The sequence below is a fragment of the Homo sapiens genome, chromosome 3 (genome assembly GCF_000001405.40).
Source record: "Homo sapiens chromosome 3, GRCh38.p14 Primary Assembly".
NCBI lineage: Eukaryota > Metazoa > Chordata > Mammalia > Primates > Hominidae > Homo > Homo sapiens.
In genome coordinates this window covers 1,755,199-1,777,767 of record NC_000003.12, presented here as the reverse complement: position 1 = coordinate 1,777,767, position 22,569 = coordinate 1,755,199, and the positions used below count along the sequence as shown (strand labels likewise).

At 37.1% G+C, this 22,569-nt stretch overlaps 1 annotated feature.

Moving 5' to 3' along the window:
- Positions 19,949-20,243: a silencer, noted in NCBI's record as "tiled region #9777; HepG2 Repressive non-DNase unmatched - State 24:Quies, and K562 Repressive non-DNase unmatched - State 24:Quies". NCBI's record gives its function as "represses a minimal TATA promoter and a strong SV40 promoter by Sharpr-MPRA in HepG2 and K562 cells {active_cell/tissue: HepG2 | K562}" and the evidence as "EXISTENCE:reporter gene assay evidence [ECO:0000049][PMID:27701403]".

Below are 22,569 nucleotides of genomic sequence, written 5' to 3'. Positions count from 1 at the left end.
CTGGCCCCCAGGTCATCTTTTCCTATTGGCACAGCTGCTGGCATTCACCCGTGCAAGCTTCTAGCTTGCTTTTCTATGTCTGCATCTTGATTTTTCAGGGTGTTCTTTGTTAGAAAAAAATGATTTGGGGGCTGCTTTTTATTAAAAGGGAAACCTTACCGAGGACTCTCTTACCGTCACTATCTGCCTACATAATTTCTTTTCAGCTCCTGTATCACTAACACTTTATGTCTTTTCCACATCTTTGAATTTCAGAGTCTTCCAATAAGCATCTTTGACCATCATTTCAAGAATGCCCTAAATACACCAAGTGGCCAATAAACATATTTTATGTGTTCAATAGCAGTGAGCATAGACCTAGAGCACCCCAAGAGAGGACAAATAAGCACAACTCTGTGGAAGGCATCAAGTCTGACTCATCAAATAATGAGTCTTAATTATGATTAAATCAAACTTCTTATAGAGATGGAGTTTCACCATGTTGGTCAGGCTGGTCTTAACTCCTGAAGTTTTCTAAATTTTACATATGAGAGATGGGACCTGATTATAATAAGTTAGTTGAATCATAAAAGGATTAATGGGAAAATTACTATTCAATCACAAATTCTTTTACTTTGAATAAGGTCAATTAGGCCTTGATTCAATCTGAGAAAAAAGAAAGGAGTAAGTAACAGCAGTGTCCTAAAGGTATATCCCACTCCACATATACTCCAGTTATTACTGGGCGTTCTGGTTCAAATCCTGGACAATGAGCATGGCGTGTGCCATCATCCACACGCACATATTCACACAGTCATTGAAATATGTATGTTCCTTATAGAAATTATTTGGCTTCTGTAAATACAACAGTGATTCAGGTCTTTTATTTTATCTCACATAATGAACATTTCAAATCTAGGGGCAGATTTAATATAATGTTTTGATTTATCCAGAACTTTAAGTAACCTTAACTCTAGTATATGGTGTCTATATTTCACACGTTCCCTATTTTTCTCATCAATACCTTTATTAATCATATGATTATCAAACTCCAGAGGAATTTCACATGTTCAAAGTCCAGTTATTTCAGAGTAAAAAATAAACAACTTGACCTTTCTAATAGTTACCATAGGTGTCCCCAAAAAGAATATGTCCTGATCCTAATCCTCAAAATCTGTGACTATTAACGTAAGTAATTAGACTAAGAATCCTGAGATAAGGAACTCATTCTGGATTATCTACGTGGGTCCTAACTCAAAGATAAGTGCCTTTATAAGGGGAAACAGAGGGAGACTTGACATAGACAGAAGAGAGGATAACACAGGCAGAATAAGAGGAGGCAACGTGATTGTGGAGGCAGAGATTGGAGGAATGTGGAGAGCCAGGGTAACTACCGGGAGCTGAGAGAGGTAAAGAGTGGATTCTCTCCTAGATCCCCCAGAAAATTGTGGGTCCACTGATACCTTGATTTAGGATTTCTGGCCTCCTGAATCATGCAACCATAAATTTCTGTTGTTTTTAAGCTACCAAGTTGGTGGTAATTTATTACCAATAGCAGCCTTAGGAAACTAGCAGATCTTGGTATTGGGAAGTAGGGTGCAACTGTACTAAATGCCTATAAATGTGGAGGTGGTATTGGAATTGAAGAATGGGTAAAGAATGGAAGAATTTGGGGAAGCAACATAGACAAAAACTAGATTGCCTTGAAGAGATGGTTAGCAGAAATACAGATGCTAAAGGAGATTCTGGTGAGGGCTATGAAGGAAGTGAGAAGAATGGTAGAGAAAATTTCTGTTGTCGTAGAGAATACATATATTGTCATGAGCACAATGTTGGTAGAAATATGAATATTAAAGACCTTGCTGGTAAGGATTGAGAAAGAAATGAGGAACACATGATTGGAAACTGGAGGAAAGGCAATCTTTATTACAGGTAATACCTCAGAGATGTGACAGATTTCCTTCAAGACTGCCACAAAATTTAAAGCTAATATCGCAATAAAGCAAGTCACATGAATTTTTTGGTTTTCCAGTACATACACAAGTTATGTTTATACTATAGTCTATAAGGTATGCAATAGCATTATGTCGATAAAAACAATGTACGTATCTTAATAAAAACTTATTGCTAAAAAATGCTAATGATCACCTGAGCCTTCAGTGAATTGGAATCAAAGATCACTGATCACAGATCACCATAACACATATGAAAATAAGGAGAAGTTTCGAATATTGTTGCAAGAATTACGAAAATGTGACACGTGACACAGTGACACAAAGTGAGCACGTGCTTTTGGAAAAATAGTGCTGATAGACTTGTTTGACCCATCCTTGCCACAAACCCTCAATTTAAGACAAGGTGTGTCTGTATAGTGTGATGGAAAACTTGGTTGAATTGTAATTTACTTGCCTAAATTTAATTTTTTATGGAAAATAGAATTTATAGTAATGAATGTGGATATTTAGGCAAGGAGATTTCCAAGCAAAATGTTGAAGGTTGTGCCTTGCTTTCTTGTTGCCGCTTATAGTAAAATATGAGAGGAAAGAGATAAATTGAGGGAAAAACTATTAAGCAAAAAGAAAGCAACACTTGATGTTTGGAGAGGTTTTTGTCCTATCCAGATTAAAACGATATTAAAATTAGAAAATTTACTCTTGCGAAAGCATGTTCTAGAATTAGTGCCCAAGGGTGTGGCTGGACAGTGTTTTGCTGAAGAAATTAGGAATGAAATTCATGGCTTCACTGATCCATCTCAGCAGAAGCCAAGAATTGAAATGAGGTTACCTAGAAATGAGCTGTGGAGAACTCTCTTGTCTAATGGAGTGGATCCTCTTGCCATGTATAGAAGAACCACATGGCTTTTGAAAATGTGATATCAGGAGAAACCTGCCAGCCTGGAGGGAACAGTAGCACAGGGGATGAAATGAAGAAAAGCTGTTGGCCTTTTGGAATACCACAGGCCAGAAATTGGCTAATACAGCTACTTGGTTACAAACATGTGATACTCCTCAAGACAAAGAATGACTCTGAGTGTAAAGCTGTCAGAGCAGAGACAGAGGGTGGCAGAGTCATGGGCCCAGAACGTAGAAAAGCCACAGAGAAATATTATTGGCCTTGAAATCCAATAGAATTTATCTTGCTGGATTTCAAACTTAGACTGACCATCTCTTTATTCATTCGAATTTCTCCGTTTAAGAAGGGGATGTCTATTCTATGCCTATCCCACAACTGTATTTTTTAAGGAGATAATTTATTTTCCAGTTTCTTAAGTCCACAGATGGAGAGAAAACTTGTCCCAATCTTGACCCATACCCCAAACATACTTTGGGTATGGACCATACCCAAAGTCTCGCTCATAGATTATTTGGATGATTTAGATAATGAGATTTGGGACTTTCTAGCTGATGATATTTTGATGAGATTTTAAACTTAAGGTAGATGCTTTAATGGGTTGAGGCTTTTGAGGATGATGGGATAGGGTGAATGTGTTTTGCAGATAGAATGAATGTGATTTTTTTGAGAGACAGAGAGAGGCAGACTATAGTAGGTTGAATAGAGGCCCCCAAAACACATATGTTCATACCCTAATGTTAGATACCTGTGAATGTTACCTGATTTGGATAAAGGGTCTTGCAGATGTAATTAAGAATCTTGAGATGAGGAGATCATTCTGGGCTATCTGGGTGAGTGCTAAATCCAAAAATGTTTCTTTATAAAAGAAAGGCAAAAGGATAATTGAAACACATAAAAGGAGAAGACACAGAAGGAAGAGACTGGATGAGTCAGAAGGCTGGGGCAGCCATTGGAAGTTGGAAGAGGCAAAGAACAGATTCTCTCTTAGAGGCACCAGAGAATGCAAGGTTCTGCCAGCACCTTGACTTAGAACTTCTGGTCTCCTGAATCATGACACAGCAATTTTCTATTGTCTTATGCCTCCAAATTTGTGATAAATTATTTTGGCATCCACAGTAAAGTGATATCAACCTCCTCGTATAATACCATAGTTTTTAATACTGATATCTAAAAATAATATTTTTCCCCAAGTCAGAATCTGTAGTCATGAAATTAAACTTGTGTTCAACACAGTGATGAAGACTTCTGGGAATATATATTCAAGCAAACACATACAGATAATCCCCTTTAGGGAATGAGAGATAACAAGCCAACTGTTTGGGGACTAAGAGACTGCCTCCTTCTCTGCAGGCACTAGGTCTGGAGGGGGCATTAAGATGCCCTTTGTGACAAGAACCGCAACATACAAGATAGTCTCTTGAATCTGGTTTGTACACAAACAAGGTGACTCTGTCATGGGAAAAAACCTTACCAGAAAATTCCCTGTCATTTATTTGTATAAGCTCCAGACCTATTAAAAAAATTGTTGGGTGATTGATAGAATAAAATATCATGCACTATATGTTTTTAATGTTCCCTCTAAATGAAGATTCTTTATTCTATATCCTTTAAGATAAACAAATATGAATTAGCATTTTAGGAAATAGAAGGAGTATTTTGGAGGTATTTAATTCATATCTAATAAATTCAAACCAGCAACTTGAAAAATATGGTTTGTAAAGATCTTGAGATTCCATTTGTTGGGGGAGGAGTTAGGGCAGAGGAAGAGTGAATGGGCCAAGCAGCTTACAGACCAGATTCTGTCCCTCTGATACAGTTTGGCTGTGCTCCCACCCAAATCTCATCTTGTATTGTAGCTCCCATAATTCCCATGTGTTGTGGGAGAGACCTGGTGGGAGATAATTGAATCATGGAGGTGGTTTCCCCCATACTGTTCTTATGGTAGTGAATAAGTCACACAAGAGGTGATGTTTTTATAAGGGGTTTCCCCTTTGCTTGGCTTTCATTCTCTCTCTTGTCTGCTGCCATGTAAGATGTGACTTGCTCCTCCTTGCCTTCCACCATGATTGTGAGGCCTCCCCAGCCATGTGGAACTGTGAGTTAGTTAAACCTCTTTCCTTTATAAATCAACCAGTCTCCGGTATGTCTTTACCAGCAGCGTGAACCTTTATAAATTTTATAAAGACATACCCACTCTCTGGTATGTCTTTATCAGCAGTGTGAAAATGGACTAATACACCCTCCCTGCCCTGCCCACGGCACTACTATGCTCTTCTGCGTACATTTTGGCTTCTGCCTCATACTTCCTTTGTGCAGTAGAATTCCATATTTATACTACATTAAAAAAAACTAGCCTAGATATTATATGTCTTTGGCTCTAAGTGTTAATGTGTTAAGGCAAGAACTAAGTGGTATGGAGCTGAGTCCTCTTTGTGATTCTGAGTTTTAAATTATTGTGAAATTAGTAGAGTTAAAATCATATTTTAAATAAAGTAAGTAGTAGAGAAAAAAAACCATCCTACTAGGTTAGTTTGTTGTTTCTGTGTTTCCTATAAAAATTGAGAAGAAAGATGGGGAGATGTAGATACTCTATACTTTTCTGGTAAAGATATTCTTGACCCTGAAGGAATTTTAAGTTTCCTGCATATTATTAATGGTTTCTATGAAATTTTGAAATTGGGGTGTGTCTGTTCAGACTGCTATAGAAAACTACCAAGGACTGCATAATTTATAATTAATAGACATTTATTTATCATGGTTCTGGAGGCTGGGAAGTTCAAGATAAAGTTGCTTACAGATTTGGTGTATGGTAAGAGCCTGCTTTCCAGTTTATAGATGGCTGTGTCCTTACAAGGCAAAAGTGGGAGGGGTGTGTGTCTTTTTTATAATGGCACTAATCTCATCCATGAGGGCTCTGCCCTCATAAACGAATCACCTCTCAAAAGGCTCCACCTTCAAATACCTCACACTGAAAGGTAGGATTTCAACATAATCAAATTAGAGGAGATATAAACATTTTGTTTACAGCATTCCACCTGTCTCTCCAAAATTTCTGTCCTCAAGTGCAAAATATATACATTATATCCCAGCAGTCCCCAAAGTCTTCTCTTGTTCCATCATCTACTTCAAAGCCTAAAGTCAAAAATTGTATCTTAATATTATTTAAATCAGATGTGGGTGAGACTCAGTGTATGATGATTCACCCTGTGGCAAATTCCTCTCCAGCTGTGAACTGCTGAAATCAAACATGTTATGTGCTTCCAAAGTAAATGGTGGGACAGGCCCAGGACAGATATGCCCACTATAAATGGAGAAACAGGAAAGAAGAAAGGAGGGACAGGTCCCAGAACCTAACAGGGGAAATAACATTAAACCTTAAGTCTCAAGATATAATCTTTGGGCCATGTATGGTGGCTCAAGCTTGTGATCCCAGCACTTTGGGAGGCCTGGGTAAGTGCATTGTTTGAGCCCAGGAGTTTGAGACCAGCCTCAGCTACATGGTGAAATCTCGTCTCTACTAAAAATGCAAAATATTAGTCAGAAGTGGTGTCCTACACCTGTAGTACCAGCTACTTGAGAGACTGATGTGAGATCACTTGAGTCTGGGAGACCAAGGCTGCAGTGAGCTGAGATTGTGCCACCGTATTCCAGCCTGGGCAACGGGAGTGAGACCCTGTATCAAAAAAATATACGCCTATATATTCTTTGGCTTGAAGTTTTGCGTACTGGATGCACTTGGGGGAGGGGTCTTGCCTTTTGGACACATTTCAGGATAATCAGGGGGCCAAAATCAGATGCTCAAAATGGATTTTCAACTTTTATCAGCCTAATTGTTTGAAGGCACATCCAATAATGATCCCATCTTTATGTAAGCCTGAAGGCATTTCTGCCCATGCCTCACTGTGTGAAACTTCCTATAGGTGGCTGCATTGCTTGATCATATTAAATGTTTTCTTGACTGCATCATTTATTTTGACATGTATTAAATAAGGCTTGCTAGGTCAAGGGAGATGCTCCTTCCTACCTCTGTTGCTTTCACGGTAATATGTTTTCAGATTAAAAAAAAAATCTAACTGGGTTTTTCTACATAATGTTATTTCAGTATTTCAGTTGATAGTGCAATCAATACATCAGCCTTGGTGGCAGTTTCTGACCTAGACTATATTGTCGTATTAATCAATCAACTTGTAGGGACATTCAAAGTAAATCCCCCATTGACAGTCACAAAGCTAAGAGAGAAGGCCAGAGGAAGGAAGCAACATTTTAGATAACACAAATCAAACGAGTTTAGAAAAAGTCTTTTAGAGGTCACTGGGAAAGGAATGTTACATGACAGTTTTCTGAGTATGTCAGTGTTTTTTAAAACTACATTTCCTCCTATACCAAGTTTCACATGATGTGCCTAGTTTATTGCACATTGGAAATATCAAATATTTATAAATTATGGTGGTAAAGGAACCATAATTTACCTAGAGAAATTGGCACTAGATTTTTTTGAGATTGCATGGAATTGCTTTAGAGTTTTGCCTTTACACTTAGTAGTTTTGTCTATTACTTGAAATTATAAATTAGTCAAAATACAGAGATGTTTAGGCATTGCCATCTAATACTGTGAGAGAACAGTGGCAACTTAAAAAGGAAAATATAAAGACTCACTTGCTTCTCCCATTTCATCATTTCAAAGGAACTTCAGTACACCTGCTCGAAGGCAACTCTGTCAGGGAAAGCTTTAATTAGAAAGAGAAAGCTCCTGTTTAATGACCAGAGAGTAAACAGAGATCAGCATGGAGGTTACTGAGAAGTGTGTTATTCTTACTAGCTGAACAGAGGAGTCTTTTACCAATAAGGAAGAAAAACTAAAGGTTCTTTTCAATGAGAGCACAATTGGCTAATCACATGAATAATGGTAGAGTGAAGATTTGGAATGGTGATTGTTGGTATGTTCTTTAAAGAAAAAATTTAAAACAGTTTTTAAACTCAGATATTCTGCAGTTCATGAGAAACCATAATCATCATCTCTGCAAGATTTGTTTCTTCTCATTATTTTTTAAAATTACTGTCTTTATCTATCCATCTATCTATCCATACAGAAACAGCCACTAGAGAGTGTTTAATATACGACCTGAGATCTGTAGTTTCTTAAAAACATGATTTTCCTTGTGCGAATTCACATAAAGAATACTGAACTAGCATCTTTATTTTTTCCATTAGATGTTTTGTTTTTGATTTATTCATTTTGCTGTATATAACTCTCATTCATTATTTCTCTTGCATTATAGCCAACTGAAAGAATCCACTGTATTTATCACCTTAGCAGGGCATCTAGGTTGTTTTCATTTCTCTGCTTGCGTAAAACAGTGCTGCAAAGCACATCCTGTACTTGCCACCATATTAATTTATGCATGAGTTTTTCTTCAGGCTGGCAAGTTAGGAGGTTGGGGAATAACACCAGGAGTGGGATTACATTAATGCATACTTAATTTCATTAATTTCTGATGGATTGTTCTCTAGAAAGTCTGTGCCACTTTATATCTCACCAGCTGGGTCCTGAGTGTTTTCATTTTTTTGCCCATCACTGGCAGTTAAAATGATCTCACATCCTAATTTTTATCAATGTGATAGATATAAAATAATACTTCATGGTTGTTTTAATATTCGTTTCTTCCTGACTACTAGAAACATAGAATATCTCCTTATATACAGTATCTTGTTTAGCAAATTACTTTTTAAAATACTTTTTTCTTTCAAATTTGATATCTTTGCTGTTCGTGGTGTGATTTAAAGCCACTCGTTCGTGTATTCCACATTGACGTTGGTTTTAGATATTAAGAACTCTGTTTCTCCAGACTACTTTTCTCCAAGGTGTCCCACGTAGAAAAAAAATCCCTAATTTTGATCTGGTCAAATCCATACATTTTTCACTTCATCATTTATTCTTTTCTCTCTCTTTTTTTTTTTTTTTTTTTTGAGGCGGTGTCTCGCACTGTCACCTGGGCTGGAGTGCAGTGGCGTGATCTCGGCTCATTACAACTTCCACCTCCCAGGTTCAAGCGATTCTCCTGCCTCAGCCTCCCAAGTAGCTCAACTTCTTCATTTGGCTTCCAGAACTCTACTTTATTTGAGCTCATTTCAAACATCTCTGGGTAGTCCTGACTCCTTCAATTTCTTTTCGATTTCTTTAGTTCCATGTTGCAGTGTGCCCCAGAGCTCTGTTCTCAGTCTTTCTTTTCTCTCCCGACTCATTATACAGATAATCACATCCAATCTCAAGCCTATAATTAACCTGTATACACTCATGAGTCCCAAATCTCTATCTCCAGCCTAGACCTCTCTTCCAACTCAAGACTGATAGATATCTAAGTCTTCACTGAATCATGTATCAGTCAGCATCAAACCAGAGAAGCAAAATCAGTAAGAGATGTCTTTCAGAAATTTTGTTGCATGGAATTGACTTACATGATGGGAGGCCTGGATAGGAAAATCAGAGATCGGAGAGAAGGCTGGAACTCTCAGGCAAGGGCTCTAGCTATTGTCTGCTGAAGCAATTTGTTTTTCTTCATGGAATTCTCAGCTCTGCCCCGCCAACTGATTGAATGAGGCCCACCCAGGTTAGGTAGGATAATCTTTGTTACTTGAATGTAACTGATTTTGAACTTTAATCACATCAGCAAAATGCCTTCACAGGAATAACTGGATTAGTTTTCAACTGACTAACTGGGGACTGTATCGTAGTCAAGCTGAAACATAAAACCGTCATATTCACTAACTATATCTAAAATAAAACACCTACTTTCTTTATCCCCAATGCTCAAGACTTACCCTTACATAACCTACACCAGCTCAGGTCATGTCACTTCCATTTTACCTGTTCCTCTGACCAGAAACTGTAGTGTATTCATCAATCATTTTGTTCTCTTACACTTTGCATCCAATCCACTGAGAAAACCTATTAAGTTTTATTTTTTAACATAGCCGTATTATGACCAATTTCTACCAGCACTCGAGGTATGGTCCAAACCACTATCATCTGTTTCCAAAGTTACTGCAACAGACTTACAGTAGTTTTCTGTGCCTTCACTGTTGCTGCTGGATGGTCTTCTATTCACACCTTGTAAGTGATGTAGTTTGTACTTGAACCCTAGGCAGTCTGATTTTAGTGCCTGCACTAAAATTTATTTACTGTGGGAATGGCCTACAGTCCTTGTTTATAGGGATAAAGAGGTTAAGGTAATAGAAGGTGAAGGTAGTTCGAAAGGGCCCATTGCCTGTAGTACAGTTACAGGTTGCAAAGGTACAAATATTTACCTCTTAGCAATGTGAGAACTTTCCTAAGACAGACATAATTAGGCAATTTTTATGGAAACAATTGGTAGGACAAAAGAACATACAAATACTGGTGGGCTATATAAATTACTAGAAAATATCTTAGAAAGAGTCTTTAAATATTGCTGAACTGTCCCCAGAATTAGAGACGTTCTGGGGGAACCAGTGCTTTATTTATATAAAATGAAGTAGGTACATTGGTCCATAAACACATAATTTGGGGAGTCTTTATTTCTAATCAAATGCAAGAGAGCATAGTTGCTGCCACTTCTCTTCCTCCTTCTCCTTCTTAAGGAGCCATGCTGTCTGACTTTACATACGTAAGGGAGAGGGAATGTTGAGAAAGACAGATTTGGAATCTGAGTAAGACAAGTTAAAACACCTTTTCTTTTCTGTGGTGGTAAATATTACTGCAATTATTCCAATTATAATTGACTTTGCTTGTGAATAAACCACCCAGACTATGCTTGAAACGGGGTGGGGGTGGGGAGGTGGGCGGCGGGGGGAAGTATACTATAGCTCTGGGTCAAATGCAGCCCACTGCCTGTCTTTTTAAAATAAAGTTTTTTTGGAACACAGGCACATTCATTTGTTAACATATTGTTTGTGGTTGTGTTCATGCTAGGAGCAAAGTTGAGTAGTTTGGGGAGAGACCACAGGGCTGGCAAAGCTGAAAATATTTATTATCTGGACCTTTATAAAAAAAAAAATTGCTGACCACTGATCTAAAGAAAGCCCTTAGAGATTATTATTATATGGTAAGGTTTAAGTTTAGACTAATCAGTAAAATTAGTTGCAAAACTGTTCTACTTTCTACAGCTGTCCAAAAGTGTCCAGTTGGCTCTGTAGTTAAGACAGTATTTGGTCCTAGGGTCATGACAGCAAAAACGCCCCCCATAGGCATAAGCAATGCTTTCTTACGGGAGTTCATGTTTAGATAGCGAATCTACTTAAAATCACTTGATACAAATTGCAAGGCAAACTTTGAGCTGTTAGAGCCCCCTGGGAATCATTTGTTTGATTCATTGGCTGTTAAACAGATGTCCTCACATTAGGATTTCAGGGTCCATAAAATGTGATAAGATCTGGGAATGCAACTAAAAGAGAGAACATAAAGACAGTCTCTTTTCACTTGTGTCTTTATGAGCTCCTCCTCCCACTTCCTGACCCCCCACTTTGTCTCATTCTTTTCATATGCTTTTGCTGCCCAGGTATTTATTATAAAGCTCTGTCATTTGTTTTAACATTCACCAACAAAACTAAACAATCCCAGATTCATTTATTTTATGGTTCAGAAACACTATGAAAATACTTAAAATAATCTGCTATTAAAACTAGAATATCCTCCAATATCCATAGGAGGTATTTAGAAAGTAAGCATCTGTTTAGGTGGTATCTTCAATATAAGATACAGTGGCAGGAAATGGGGCACCATATGTATATATCCTGATTACATAGTGCTGTGGTCTAAATGTGTGCCCCCAAATTCATATATTAAAATCCTAGCCCCTATGGTGATGTTATTAGGAGGTGTGGCCTTTGGAGGTGATTAGGTCATGAGAGGAGAGCCTTCATAAATGTGATTAGTTTCCTTGTAAAACAGGCTCTAAGGAGCTCATTTGTTCCTTCTATCACTTCTATCACTGAAAAATCGGCAGTCTGCAACCTGGAAGGGGGACCTTGCTAAAACCAAACTGTCCTGACACCCTGATCTTGGATTTTCCAGCCTCCATAACTGTCAGAAACAAATTTCTGATCTTAATAAGCTACCCAGACAATAGTATTTTGTTATGGCAGCCTGAAAACACTAAGACACATAATATATAATTTGTTCAAAATTGTTACACAGTATATAATTTCCTAGATATGGGGAATTATTGGATATTCAGTTACGCTTAATATGCTTTTAATGTTTTTCCTAGTTAAAAAAATAAAAAAATCTTCTCCAGTAACGTCTCATTTTTTTAAAAATTTTGTTTTGTGTTTTGAGAGTGCATCCACACCTGGGAAGTATCTGTATATACGAACTTATGACTAAATAAACCAGGGATGAAGAGGGAAAGAGAACATACAAGGAGCTAAAAGTGAATTATAAATGAATATATGAAAATACTTGTTGACATAAGGTAATCTCATTTTAAAATGATATTTGACATTACAGGAGACATATATGGTCAAAATGAACTTTGGAAGAAGTAGAAAATCTGAAGAGACAACCTCAGAAACAGGAAAAAACATTGTTATTCATAAAATGCCCCGGATTACGGAACTGTGAGAGGTCTTTGTGCATGCATGTGTATGCATATGTAAAGATGTCAAGTTTTGTTATATGTTTAAATATACACACACATATATATCTCATATATGTATATGTACATATATATGTGTATGTCTATCTATTGGTGACATCTTGAGGTAGATAGATGGACAGCTCGATATCTCCAGGCAGGTTTTTAGATAATGTAAAGAATATAATTCTTATACTCCACAAATGAATCTAAAATACATAAGAAATAAAGCCAACATATATATTTTGTAAGTTAAATGAATTGCTGAGCTCAAAATTTGCCCAATGTAGCATGAAGAGGACAAATACCAAGGGCCATTCTGTTATGAATTTGGATGCAAAAGTCTATATAAAATATCAGTAGCTAAGTCTCTAGAACAATAAAGAAATCATCTACCACCACAGCATAGGTGTTAGCTCAGGAAAGTAAAGGTTATTTACATAATGCATCTAATTGTAGAAACAATATTCAAAACTAAGTAATAAGCTCAGATGTGGAAAATGCAGCCGATGTATGTCAATACCATTTCTCAATGGGATTAAAGAAAGTCACATAGAAATCTGATCACAAAATGCAGTTATTTATATCTCTCTCTTTATATCAGTATTTATAGAGATACATGAAATATTTCATATACTGTCATTTACCTCCAAATCTGAAAGAACTCAAGATATAAGTAGCATTATTATTATTGAAATTGCCCCTAATAATGGTCAAATAAGGGAGTGTTCTCATTTTGGGGGACACATGCCGCAGTTTTTAAGAGGGAAATGTCATGATTTAGATATTTTAGGGTATGTGTGAGTAAAAGGTATATATAGTATGTACACTGTATATATATGTATGTATGGATGTGTGTAGGACACATATAAATATTATAGTATGTACCTGTATATATATGTGTGGATGGATGTGTGTAGGACACATATAAATATTATAGTATGTACACTGTATATATATGTATGGATGGATGTGTGTAGGACACATATAAATATATAAAAGGTATATATAGTATGTACACTGTATATATATGTATGTATGGATGTGTGTAGGACACATATAAATATTATAGTATGTACACTGTATATATATGTGTGGATGGATGTGTGTAGGACACATATAAATATTATAGTATGTACACTGTATATATATGTATGGATGGATGTGTGTAGGACACATAAATATTATAGTATGTACACTGTATATATATGTATGGATGGATGTGTGTAGGACACATATAAATATTATAGTATGTACACTGTATATATATGTATGGATGGATGTGTGTAGGACACACATAAATATTATAGTATGTACACTGTATATATATGTATGGATGGATGTGTGTAGGACACATATAAATATACATTATAAACAAAAATTTAAAAATATGTATGCTAAATTGCTAATAATTGTTGAATCTAGATGATGGGTAAATGAGTATTACCTTATCTTTTCTTCTTTTCTGTATATTATAATTTTTTATAATTTTAAAAATATAAATTCTCAAATATATAGTTTAATTCAATTGTATGAATACATTGAGATTTGGGAAGATTATCTGACACCATGATTTTAATATTCAGAGAGACAAAATAAATAGAAAGAATTAGCAAGGAAAATATTAAAAGTTAAAATTAAATGAGTTTTTATTTGATATCAAAATACATACATAAATAGGAAATATATTGTAAAACCACAGAAATTTAGGGAGTATATTGACATAGCAATAAATATACAGAATGAACATAGAAATAATAACTGGTAACCTGAAAAGTAACTTGATGCATACACACAGAGACACACAAAGACATACCCATGCACACATAAAGTATGTGATAAAGGAGCATCAAATAACAGTGAATGAGAGTAAAATATTCATCTAATGATGCTTGCAAAATTGAAACAAATAAATGAGCCAAATCTAATTTTTCATTTTACACTCTAGTGTAAAATAAATGACATTTAGGAAAAGAGTTAAATATTATAAAACGCATAAACTAATTGACAACATAATTTTAGGGCAATAAAGTTTTGAAAAAAATTGAATTCTTATTTTTTTCAACATTTATTGTAGATTCAGGGGATACATGTGCAGGTTTGTTATCTGGGTATATTGTGTGATGCTGAGGTTTGGGGTATGAATGATTCCATCACCCAGGTACTGGGCATAGTACCCAATAGTTATTCCAAGCTTCCTCCCCTCTCTCCCTCCCCACTCTAAGTATACACCAGATTCTATTGTTGCCATCTTTATGTCCATGAGTACCCAATGTTTAGCTCATACTTATAAGTGACAACAAATAATATTTGGTTTTTTGTTCCTAAGCATTAATTTGCTTAGGATAATGACCTCCAGTGGCATCCATGTTGTTGCAAAGGACATGACTTCATTCTTTTTGTGGCTGTGTTGTAATCCATGGTGTATGTGTTCCATATTTTCTTTATCCTATTCGCCATTGATGGGTGCCTAGCTTAATTTACTGTCTTTGCTATTATGAATAGTACTATGATGAACATGAGGGTGCATGTGTTTCGGTAGGATGATTTGTTATTTTTTTGGATGCATACCAGTAATAGGGTTGCTGGATTGAATGGAAGTTCTGTTGGAACTTCTTTGCAAAATCTCCAAACTGCATTCCACAGTGGCTGAACTAATTTACACTCCAGTCGATAGTGTATAAGCATTCCCTTTTCTCTGCAGCCTCATCAGCATCTGTTGTTTATTGACTTTTTAATAATAGTCATTCTCATTGGTGTGAGATGGTATCTTATTGTGGTTTTGATTTGCATTTCTCTGATAACTAGTGACATGAGGCATATTTTCATATGTGTGTTGGCAGCTTGCACGTCTTCTTCTGAGAAGCATCTGTTCAAGTACTTTGCCCATCTTTTAAATGGGATTATTTGCTTGTTGAGTTGTTTAAGTTCCTTATAGATTCTGGATGTTAGACCTTTGTTGCATGCGTAGCTTATAAATATTTTCTCCTATTCTGTAGGTTTTTTGTTTACTCTGTTGATAGTTTATTTTGCTGTGCAGAAGCTCTTTAGTTAAGTGCTACTGGTCAATTTTTGTTTTTGTTGCAATTGCTTTTGAGGACTTAGTCATAAATTCCTTCCCAAGGCCAATGTCCAGAATGGTGTTCCTAAGTTTTCTCCTAGGATTCTTATACCTTGAGGTCTCACATTTAAATATTTGGTCTATCTTGAGTTGATTTTTGTATATGGTGAAAAGTAGGGGTCCAGTTTTCTTTTTCTACATATGGCTTGCCAGCTTTTCTTGCACCATTTATTCAATAGGGAGCCCTTTCCCCCTTGCTTATTTTTATCAAGTTTGTCAAAGATCAGATGGCTATAGGTGTGTGGCTTTACTTCTAGGTTCCCTATTCTGTTCCATTGGTCTATGTGTTTTTGTACCAGTACCAGTAGTAGTACCATGCTGTTTTGGTTACCATAGCCTTATAGTATAGTTTGAAGTCGGGTTATGTGATGCTTCTGGATTTGTTCTTTTTGCTTGGTATTGCTTTGGCTATTTGGGCTATTTTTTTGGTTCCATATGAATTTTAGATTAGTTTTTTTCTAGTTCCATGACAATAGTTTGATAAGAATAGCTTTGAATATATAGAATGTTGCTGCAGTATGGCCATTTTAACAATATTATTTCTTTCAATTCATGAGTATGGAATGTTTTTTCCATTGGTTGTGTTGTCTATGATTTCTTTTAGCAGTGATTTGTAACTCTCCTTTTGGAGATCTTTCATCTCCTTGGTTAGATGTATTCCTAGACATTTTTTTTTTTTGGTGTGGCTAATTACAAATGACATTGCAGTCTTGATTTGGTTCTCAGCTTGAACGTTATTGGTGTACAGGAGTGCTATTGATTTTTGTATATTGATTTTGTATCCTACTGAAGTTGTTTTTCAGTTCCAGGTGCCAAATTTAGGCAAAATCTTTAGGATTTTCTAGGTATACAGTCATACCCTCCATGAAGAGAGATATTTTGACTTCTTCTCTTCCTATTTGGGTGATTTTTATTTCTTTCTCTTGCCTGATTACTCTGATGAATACCACTTGAATAGGAGTGGTGAGAGTGGGCATCTTTGTCTTGTTGCAGTTTTCAGGGGAAATGCATCTAGTTGTTGCCTATTCAGCATGATATTGGCTGTGGGTTTGTCATAGACAGCTCTTATTATTTTGAGGTATGTTCCTTTCATGCCTAGATTGTTGAGGGTTTTTATCATGAAGAGATGGTGGGATTTTATCAGAAGCTTCTTCCACCTCTACTGAGATGATCACATGATTTTTGCTTTTAGTTCTTTTTATGTGGAGTATCACATTTATTTAGTTGTATATATTGAACCAAAATTGCATCCTAGGAAAGAAGCCTACTTGATTGTGGTGAATTAATTTTTTGATATGCATTGAATTTGGTTTGCTAGTGTTTTGTGGAGGATTTTTGCATCTATGTTTATTAGGGGTATTGGCCTGTACTTTTCTTTTTCATTGTGTCTTTTTTGCCTGTTTTTGTTTAAGTGTGATGATTGTTTCAGGCAATGAGTTAGGAAAGAGTTTCTCCTCAATTTTTTGGAGTAGTTTCAGTAGAATTGGTACTAGCTCTTATCTGAATGTGTGGTAGAATTTAGTTGTGAATCCATCTGGTCTGGGGCTTTTTCGGTTGTTTTTTTTAATACTGATTTAATTTTGGAACTCAATATTGGTCCATTAAGGGTTTCTTCCTGATTCTTGGGGGATGGTGTGTTTCCAGGAAATTGCCTGTTTCCTTTAGATTTTCTAGTTTGTGTGCATAGAGGTGTTCATAATAGTTTCTGAGAATCTCTTGTATTTCTGTGGGATAGGCTGTAATGTCACCTTTGTTATTTCTGATTGTATTTATTTGGATCTTCTCTCATTTTTTTTCTTTTTTAATGTAGCTAGTGCTCTATAGATCTTGTTTATCCTTTCAAAGCACAAAGTTTTGGTTTTATTGATTCTTTGTATGTATTTTGGGTCTCAATTTCATTCAGTTCCACTCTGATTTTAGTTATTTCTTTTCTTCTGCTAGCTTTGGGGTTGGTTTATTCTTGCTTTTCAAATTCTTCTAGATGTGATGTTAGATTGTTAATATGAGATCTTTCTAAGATTTTGAGGTAGGCATTTCATGCTATGAACTTTCCTCTGAACAGTGCTTTTGCTACATCCAAGAGGGTTTGGTATGTTGTGTCTCTGTTTTCATTTATTTTAAATAATTTTTTGATTTCTGCCTTAATGTCATTATTTACCCAAAAGTCATTCAGGAGAAAATTATTAATTTCCATGTAACTGTTTGGTTTTGAGAGATCTTCTTGTTACTGATTTCTGTGTTTATATGGTTCAAGAGTAAATGTTTGGTATGATTTCTATTTTTTCTATTTTTTTTAAATTCATTGAGACTTGTTATATGGCTGGGCATGTGGCCGATCTTGCAATATGCTTGCTGTGCAGATGAGAAGAATGTATACTCTGTGGTTGATGGATGTAGATATCTAGTAGGTCCAATTGGTCAAGTGTTGAGTTTAAGTCAAGAATTTGTCAGGTTTCTGCCCCTGTGATCTGTCTAATGCTGATAGTGGGGTGTTGAAATACCCCACTATTATTATGTGGCTATCTAAGTCTTGTCATAGGTCTAGAAGAACTTGTTTTATGAATCTGGGTGCTCCTGTGTTGGGTGCATTTTATATTTAGAATACTTGTCTTCTTGTTGACTTGAACTCCTTTACAATTATGTAATGCCCTTATTTGTCATTTTTTTTTTTTTTACTGTTGTTGGCTTAAAGTCTGTTTTATCTGAAATAATAATAGCAATCCCTGCACCTTTTTGTTTTCTATTTGCATGGTAGATCTTTCTTCAACCCCTTGCTTTGAGCATATAGGCATTGCTATGTGTGAGATGGGTCTCTAAAGACAGCAGACAGATGGGTCTTGTTTTTTCATCTCACTTGCCACTCTTGTCTTTTAAGTGAGGCATTTAGACTATTTACATTCAAAGTTAATATTGATTTGTGAGCTTTTGATACTATCATGAAATAGTTAGCTGGTTTCTTTGTTGTTTGGATTGCACGGTTGCTTTATGGCGTCTGTGAACTATGTACTTAAGTGTGTTTTTGTGGTAGCAGATATTGTTCTTTCATTTCCATGTTTAGAACTCCCTTGAGGATCTCTTGTAAGGATAGTCTAGTGGTAATGAATTCCCCTAGTGCCTGCTTGTGTGGAAAATTTTTTATCACTCCTTCGCTTATAAAGCTTAGTTTGGAGGAATACAAAATTCTTGGCTGGAATGTCTTTTCTTTATGAATGATGAAAATAGGTCCTCAAACTCTCTTAGCTTGTAAAGTTTCTGCTGACAAGTCCACTGTTAACCAGGTGGGGTTCTCTTTGTACATGATCTGACCTTTTTCTCTAGCTACCTTTAAGGTTTTTTCTTTAGCATTGACCTTGGACAGTCTGGTGACTATATGCCTTTTAATGTTCATTTTGTATAGTATCTTACAGGTCTTCTCTAAATTTCTTGTATCTGGATGTCTTTAGCAAGATTAGGGAAAGTTTATTGAATTACTACCTTTGCTTTTCCTCCTGTTTCTCAGGAATACCAATAATTTGTAAGTTTGGTTGCTTTACATAATCCCACATTACTCAAAGACTTTATTTTTAAAAATTCTTTTTAAAATTTTTGTCTGATTGAGTTAGTTCAAAAGAAGGTCTTCACACTCTGAAATTCTTCCTTCTGCTTGGTCCAGTGTATTGATAAGGCTTTCAATTATATTTTGAAATTCCTTAAGTGAGTTTTTTAATTTTAGAAGCTCTGATTGATTTCATTTTAAAATATTTATCTGTTTCTCCATTTCCTGGATTGTTTTAGAAGTTTCTTTGTGTTGATTTTCAACCTTGTCTTGCATCTTGTTGAGCTTCCCTGCAATCCATACTTCAAATTCTTTAAATGTCATTTCCATTTTGGCTAGAGACCATTGCTGAAGAGCTAGTTTAATCGTTTGGTGATGTTACTACACTCAAATTGTTTATGGTATAAATTTTTGTGTTTGCTTTTTTCCCATCAGGAGATGCTGGCACTTCTAATTTTTGTAATTATTTTCACATTGGCGAGGTGTTATTTCATTTTCTTTCTTTCCCTATAATAGTGTTTTTAAATTTCTCTTTCTCTCTGTGCCCCTCCCTCTCTCCAGTGGGTATGACTGTAGAGAATATGGAATAGGGTTTTTGGCTTTGCTTCTATAGCCATATACACTTCTTTTGGCTGGCTTTATATTGGGCTTTGCAGTTTGACCTACAAGCCCATAAATGGTGTTTATAGGTAAGAGCTGGCTGCGTCCAGCAGGGTAGGTATATACTTGATCCTTGTTTACTGTCAGAAGCTCTCTGTTGCTCAGGCAATGGGCTAATTACTTCTATGCACAGTGGCCTAAACTCCCTACTCAACTCCTGGGTGGCAGGCGCCATGATGAGCAGAGCTGGACTGGGCAGGGCTCCCCAAAGGTCCCCCAGTGGCAGGCACAAACACCTGCACTGAGGGAGAATCCAGTGAACGGCCACCAGACAACCAGAAGTGTGCCTACACATGGAGCTGGGAAACGTCCTCAGCTCCAGGCTCTTTGCGAAGGGGTGAGGAGTGGCCTCAACTGCTAATCTAGGATAATAGGTGCTCCAAATGCCTGGAGGTCCATCTGGGCATAGAGTGGAGAGAACTGCCCTGTGCCACAATCCCTGCACAGGAGGGATGAGGTGACTTAGGCTACTGAAGCATATACGCAGATACTTTGAATGCCTGGAGATATGCCTGGCTATGTAGCAGAGAGGGCTTTCCTGGACCAGCATCTGTGCACAGGAAGGGCAGGCCTCCTCATGCTGCTGATCTAGGAGAGCTGGTACTCCAGACATCTGGAGATCTGCCTGGACATGGAGTGAAGAGGGCCTTGATTAATCACAATCCGTGTCCAGGAAGTGTAGGATGGCTTGGGTTGATGAACCAGATCAGTGGGTGCCCTGAGTGCCTGGAGACCTGCCTGGGTGTGAAGAGAGGGGGCCTCCCTGTACCAGGATCTCTGTAAAGGATGGATGAGGCAACTTAGGGTGTGGATCCAGGCAAATGGGTGCTCCAAATGCTTGGATTTCTGCCAGGAGATGGAGTGGAGAGTGACCCAGTGCACCATGATCTCAGGGGGGCAGGCTGGCGAACCCAGCAATGGCTCATTAAGACTGGTTTCAGGTCGCCAATCTGGCCCTGGTTTATCACCACTCAGGAACAATGGCAGCTTTAGCAGTTCTCCTCCTGGTCTAGGCTTGTGGTGGGGGAGAGCACAATTCCAGCCCCTACTTCTGTGGTACTTTCAAAAGTTCTGACTGTGGAGGCTCCTACCCATTCCAGAGTGGGCACTTCAATCTCTGGCCCAAGATGAAAATGCCTGCATGGCCATGCTGCCAAGTCACCAAAAAATGGCTGAGTTTGTATGTGACCACATTAAATATGGTGTCCTGCTCTCTGTCCCAGGTCTGGAGAAATGCCTGAGGTTTTCCAGGTGTCTTTCTCTCACAGTGTCTCCAGGCCTTGCCCCAAGTTAGCTCCAAGGCTTGGGAGAAACAAAGAGCTCTCCGTAGCCCTGGGTTGCTTGGATGGGCAGTGGTAAGGTGAGTCACAGAGGGAAGCTCTGTTTCCCTCTCATGTACTGGGGCTTCATTCACTTTTATCAGCCAGGTGCCATCAGAGGGGCTCTTTGCTGGCATCCTCCCCTCTGGGTCTGGTATGTTCTTTACCGTTCCAGTGTAATCCCATTTTCCTTCTTGAATTAAAGCTCACAGAATTGATCTTTATGCACTGTCTTGCTCTTTCCAAGTGGCTGAGGAATGCTGAAAGCCTCTAATTCTCCATCTGAAAAAAAAAAAACTTTTATTTTTTTTTGAGGCTATGGAAAGCCTTTGTTTCTTTCTCCCAAGCCTTGGAGCTAACTTGGGAGCTAGCTAATTCCCATCTGAATTTTTTTTTTTTTTTTTTTTGAGATGGAGTCTTGCTCTGTCATCCAGGCTAGAGTGCAGTGGCATGATCTTGGCTCACTGCAACTGCCGCCTCCCAGGTTCAAGCAATTTTCCTATCTCAGTCTCCTGAGTAGCTGGGATTACAGGTGCACACCATCATGCATAGCTAATTTTTGTATTTTTAGAAGAGACACAGTTTCATCACATTGGTCAGGCTGGTCTCAACCTCCTGACCCCAGGTTTCCCACCCACCTTGGCCTCCCAAAGTGCTGGGATTACAGGTGTGAGCCACCACGCCTGGCCCCATCTGAATATTTTAAAAAATCAGTTTAAATCTAACCAATAAAGCAGTTAATAATAAAATACTATTTTGCCTATCAAATTCACCATTATGTGTGTATACATATATTTTAATATGTGTTAGCTTAGAAAATTAAAGGTAATTAATGTAATATAATTCATCCAATTTATACATACAATGGTAAAGACCTGTTGTAATCTCAGTTGTTGAAAATGCAATTGATATATGCTCCTACCTGTTCCTTAAAGAATAAAAACGTCACATAGACATCTGAAGGTAAAGGGTACTTCCTTATATCTTTCACTCTATATCAATATAAATGGAGATATACAAAATTAACACCTATTCAAATGGATAAAATAAATAGGAAATGATGAGAAAGCTTAGCAATAAAAATTTTAAAAATAAAAAATAAAATGGGATTTGGTATTCCAATTAATAAATGTTTAATTGAAATCATCACAGGATTAAATTTTAACAGCAATGAAAGTTAACATAAACCATGATCACTTCTATGAGCCCCACCTGAGTGAAGGAATAGACGGTCACAAAATGCCAGGAATTGAACAGGGATCTACAGTGGCAAGAAAGAGTGGCTTTTCTTCATGGAGAGGATCTACTAATTCCATTCAGTAACATGCCACCCAACCAACATTTCTAGATGTTCCAGGTACCATGCTTCTGCAGTGGATTCATATTAATTCAGGAAATGAAAATGTCAATTCTATTATTCTGAAGCAATGCACCACCAGTGCCAGCATCCAGTTTGCCATTTCTTGTGGAACATATCTCTCCTCTGGGCCT